Below are 4654 nucleotides of genomic sequence, written 5' to 3'. Positions count from 1 at the left end.
GGGCAGGTGGATAGTGGTCCAAAGTGTGAGAGCCAATAAAGGAGGTAGTTGCTGGTATAGACTCTGGATTGGTTGGTTTGCATTTTCAAAGCAAATGGGCTCATGGGCAAGTTGGTTACTATCTCTAAGAATTTACCAGCTCTTAACCCTCCAGGGTCACAAAGCCCCAGATGTCAAAGTATCAGAACACAGAAAATAAAAGGCATGCTTGATAAAGGAGGGGTTGGTTGACTGGTCGAAGGTCACGCAGCTTGGGAGTGAAAGAGCCCAGGTGTTTTGACTCTCGGTCCAGGACATGCCCCTGTGATCTTCAGGTGGCTTCTCCCGAGATCCCATGCCTTCCTTATGGACAAGGGCCTCCCTAGACCGTCACAGGGGCTGAGGGCAATGAAATGTTCTGCTTCCCACTTTCTGCCCCCAAACAGGTGTGTCCCAGGACCCTAGTCAGCACTGTTTTGGTTGCAAGTGACAAAAACCCCACCTTAAACAAGCTTAAGTCAAAAAGTGAGTTTATTGGCTCACATAACTGGGTGCTCAGGGTTTCCCAGTTTCAGGAAAGGCTAGATCCAGGAGCCCAAATGCTATTGTCAGGACATCATCTGTTTTGCGTATCTGGAGTCTGCGTCCCTTCAGGTGTTCTCACAAAGCCTTTCTCCACGTGTTAGGGAAGAAGGCCAATGGTAGCCCCGAACCCCTATAACTCATTACCCAAAAGGAAGAGAGATCTTCCTTGCTGGGTTCAGGTGTCAAATCTCTGATTGATCTTCTTGGGTCAGGTGTTTTTTTTTTTTTTTTTGAAACAGAGTCTTGCTCTGTCGCCCAGGGTGGATTGCAGTGGTATGATCTTAGCTCACTGCAACCTCCGCCTCCCCGGGTTCAAGCGATTCTCCTGCCTCAGCCTCCTGAGCAGCTGGGATTACAGCCACGTGCTACCATGCCAAGCTAATTTTTGTATTTTTAGTAGAGACGGGGTTTCACCATATTGGCCAGGCTGGTCTCAAACTTCCGACCTCAGATGATCCATCTGTCTCGGCCTCCCAAAGTTCTGGGATTACAGGCGTGAGCCACCACACCCAACCCATGGTGTTCATTCTTGAGCCAATCAGTGTGATCAGGGGGATTAGAATTCTGGGCAGCCTGGCCTGATCTCACACCCACGAAGTGTGTGTGTGTGTATGTCTGTGTGTGTCTGTATGTGCATGAGTGTGTGTGTGTTCCCGTGACTATGTTTTGTAGAGCATTGTGACTAAGCCCTACCAGGACCTCATGGAATGGGGGAGAGACAGGCAGAAACAGGCAGTATCTGCCCCCAATTCAATGTTCTTCATTCCTATCCACCAATTTTCCACAAAGGTCTTGCTCTGTGCCAAGGACGACTTCCTGCCCTGAGCTGGAAGGACTTTCTTGCCATCTTCCCAAAATGTCTTAACAGAAGGGCAAGCTTCCTGGTCTAGGAGTTGGGACACTGGGGTTTGGGTCATAGCACTGTCACTGAGTCACTCTGTGACCCAGGACAAGCCCCCTAAGCCTCAGTGTTCCTGTCTGGACAATGGGTGGGCTAGACTAGAAGGTCTTTAAACTGCCTCCAAGTTTGACCCTCTGTGAGTGAAGTGCTTGCTCTGAGCAAAGAGAGGTTCCGAAGCCTGCTTGCCAGGATGATGTGGGTGGGAACAGGGCTGTTAAAATACAGATTCCTAGACCCTCCCCAGGACCAGTTGGATCACACTCTCTTCGGAGCAGGACCCTGGAAGCTATTATTTTTGAGGAGTGATTCCGTTGTAGCTGGTTCACAACCTGGTGCTTGGGAACTACGGCCTAAGAAATCTGGTCCCTTGAAAGGGACAATGAACGAACTGGCTCTTTGAGGCATCTGGGCTTGTTGGCTCTGCTAGCCTAAAGCTAACAGGGTGTGTCCTGCATACAGTTGGCAAGAGACAGTAGCTGCTGAGCCAGACTGGCCCAAGAGCCTCCTGGTGGTGACTGCCCTGTGTTCTCACGTAGCAGGTGGCCTCTATGGGGACCTGGCCCTGCCAGCTGGCAGAGCATCTCGGAGCTGAGAGCTCTTCCTGGGACACTGGCAGGAGGTCTCACTCCATGCTGTTGTTGGGGATGAGATTTGGGGAAGAGATGTGCGTGCTGGCTTGGGATGGGGACCGGAGGCTGTGGGGCAGGCTGCTTAAGTCTAGTGGGGAGGGGAGCAGGGTGTGGCCTTGGGCAAGTCAGGTCATCCTCTTTGGGGCATCTGTCCTCCCACCTGTCCAGTGGGTTTGTAGCTTGGACCTTCTGAGTCTGCTTTAGTCCGTCGAGAGGGCTCTGCGGGAGAGAGGGCCACACAGAGGGGTGCTGTGAGGGTGGGGGAGAAGGCAGCTTTGATGGAGGAGGGGCTCAGCTTGCAGGTGCCAGAGGGCAGGCCCCCAGCTGATCAGGCCAGATGAGTAGCAAACCAAGAGCTCAGGAAGGGAGGGGAGAATGGGGCAGAAACGCTTCTGCTGGACAGCTGGAGAGAACCACAGGATGCCCTGGGGCCCCCCCGTGCCACCGCGTGAGCAGAGGCGGCTCAAAGCATGGTCCCGGGGCTGCCCTTTCTGGATTCAAATCCCAGCTCTGCCCTCAATGGTGTGACCCTGGGCCAGCCACTCCCCTCTGTGCCCCAGTTTTCTCTCCTATCAAGTGGGGGATGCTAACAGCCCCTCCCTCAGGGGGTCCTCAGTGGGCACTTAGCAATTGTTGTTGCTGTTAGTATTAGTGAGGACTGTACCTGCTTGGGGTTATGGGCAGGCCGTGGAGGCTGAGCTGCTGACCAGCCATGTGACCTTGTTGCCTGACCTCCCTGTGCCTCAGTTTCCTCTCTTCTAAAAGGAGGAGAAAAGCATCTACTTCATTCCAGTGAGTCTGCTGAGTTACTCCAGGTGAAGGCTTAGCATGCTGCCCCGCCCATGGGAAGGACTCTACAAAGGACAGCTATTGTTGGTGTTATTATTTATAGAGTTGAACTGGGTTAGGCATGTCACACTTTCCAGGGTGGGTTGGAGGTAGGTTCTGAACCCTCCAGGCGGCTGTGGGTGACAGGGGATCCTTGGGGTCTGGCAGGGAACCGCTGGAGCAGGCGACCTGCAAATCCCCAGGCCCAGACACCTCCTCCTGGGGATCAGCAGAATTTGGTGTGCTTTCGGTGAACCATCAGCTTACCTGATATTTGTGCCCTAGAGTGAGGCAAGCTCTGGCCTTTGGTCTCAAGGTGTGTGTTCCAGTTTCAGTCCTTGGCCTTGGCCAGGACTTGCCTTTGGCTAGTCTGAGCCTCAGCTTCCAAATCTGTGGTGTGTGATTGTGATGTCTACTTCACCAGGATGCTGAGGGAGCAGAGGGCAGTGGGGAGAACGAGCACAGCAGAATCTGCCATGCAAACAAAAAGCGTTGGTGGCCGAGGTGCTCTGCCTGGCATGCAGTCAAAGAAACTTGAGTTTGCTTCCCAGCTCTGTCACCCACTGGCTGGGCAACCCCAGGGCAAGTTCATCAATCTCTCTGAGCACTATCTTCTCACTTTTACTAAAATATGGATGATGATGATGGTTATTATTATTATTGAGACGGGGGTCTCACTGTATTGCCCAGGCTGGAGTACAGTGGTGCAGTCTCAGCTCACTGTAACCTCTACCTCCCAGGTTCAAGCAGTCCTCCCTCCTCAGCCTCCCAAGTAGCTGGGACTACAAATTAGTCATGCACCATCATGCCTGACTAACTTTTTGTATTTTTAGTAGAGATGGAGTTTCGCCATGTTGCTCAGGCTGGTCTCGAACTCCTGGGCTCAAGCGATCCCCCGGCCTCGGCCTCCCAAAGTGTTGGGATGACAGGCGTGAGCCACTGTGCCTGGCTGAAATACAGATTATTTTGTGAGGCTTGCAGGTTATTACTGTGAGGCTAAAAATGAGATCCTATATGCCAAGTGTCTGGTGGCTAGAGTAGGGTGGGGCCAGGCTGGGCCACAGGGCTGGGCCATCAGCGTGGGAGAAAGCGCACCGTTCTTTCCTCTTTCTCCCCTCCTGCCTCAAATCCTCTCTCTTCCTCCCTGAGCCTCTAATCTCGCCTCTGCTTCTCCATTCACTATCTCTGCTCTCTCCCTTCCGGCTTCCCTTGTAGTTTAAGATTAGACGTTATCGCTTCTGTCTTGAGGACACGGATATGACACGCTGGCGTCTCTGCATATTCCTCCCCTGCCGGCCTCAGCCCTGACGTGATTGCGAGCGCTGGATTCCATGCACAGCTGCTGGGTCCTGCTCCTTGCGTGGCCGTTTGGACCTGCAGCTACATGGGGTGATGTTTTGCTTTTGATTTGTGCTTCTTGCCTTCTCATCCCTGGTGCTAGATATGGGCTCCCCTCTTTTCCTGTGATGTTCAAGATTCTAATTAAGTGGAAGAGACTTTTACTCCTTACAATTCTCCAGCTATGAATAATGATACTGGCTCATAAATGAAAATTGCTTTTCTATTTAAATTCTGCGCGGTTTTTTTGTTGTTGTTTAAAAAAAGAAGGTATGAAACCAGGGCTCTTGGGTCATTTACAAGTTATTAATTTCAAGCGGAGCTCTTAGCTAGCTTATTAACGGTGAGAGTATTATAGTCCGGTTAAATGGAGGGGATATTAATTACATTGCAG

This window comes from Homo sapiens, chromosome 1 (genome assembly GCF_000001405.40).
Source record: "Homo sapiens chromosome 1, GRCh38.p14 Primary Assembly".
NCBI classification, from domain to species: Eukaryota; Metazoa; Chordata; class Mammalia; order Primates; family Hominidae; genus Homo; species Homo sapiens.
This window is presented reverse-complemented; position numbering follows the sequence as displayed.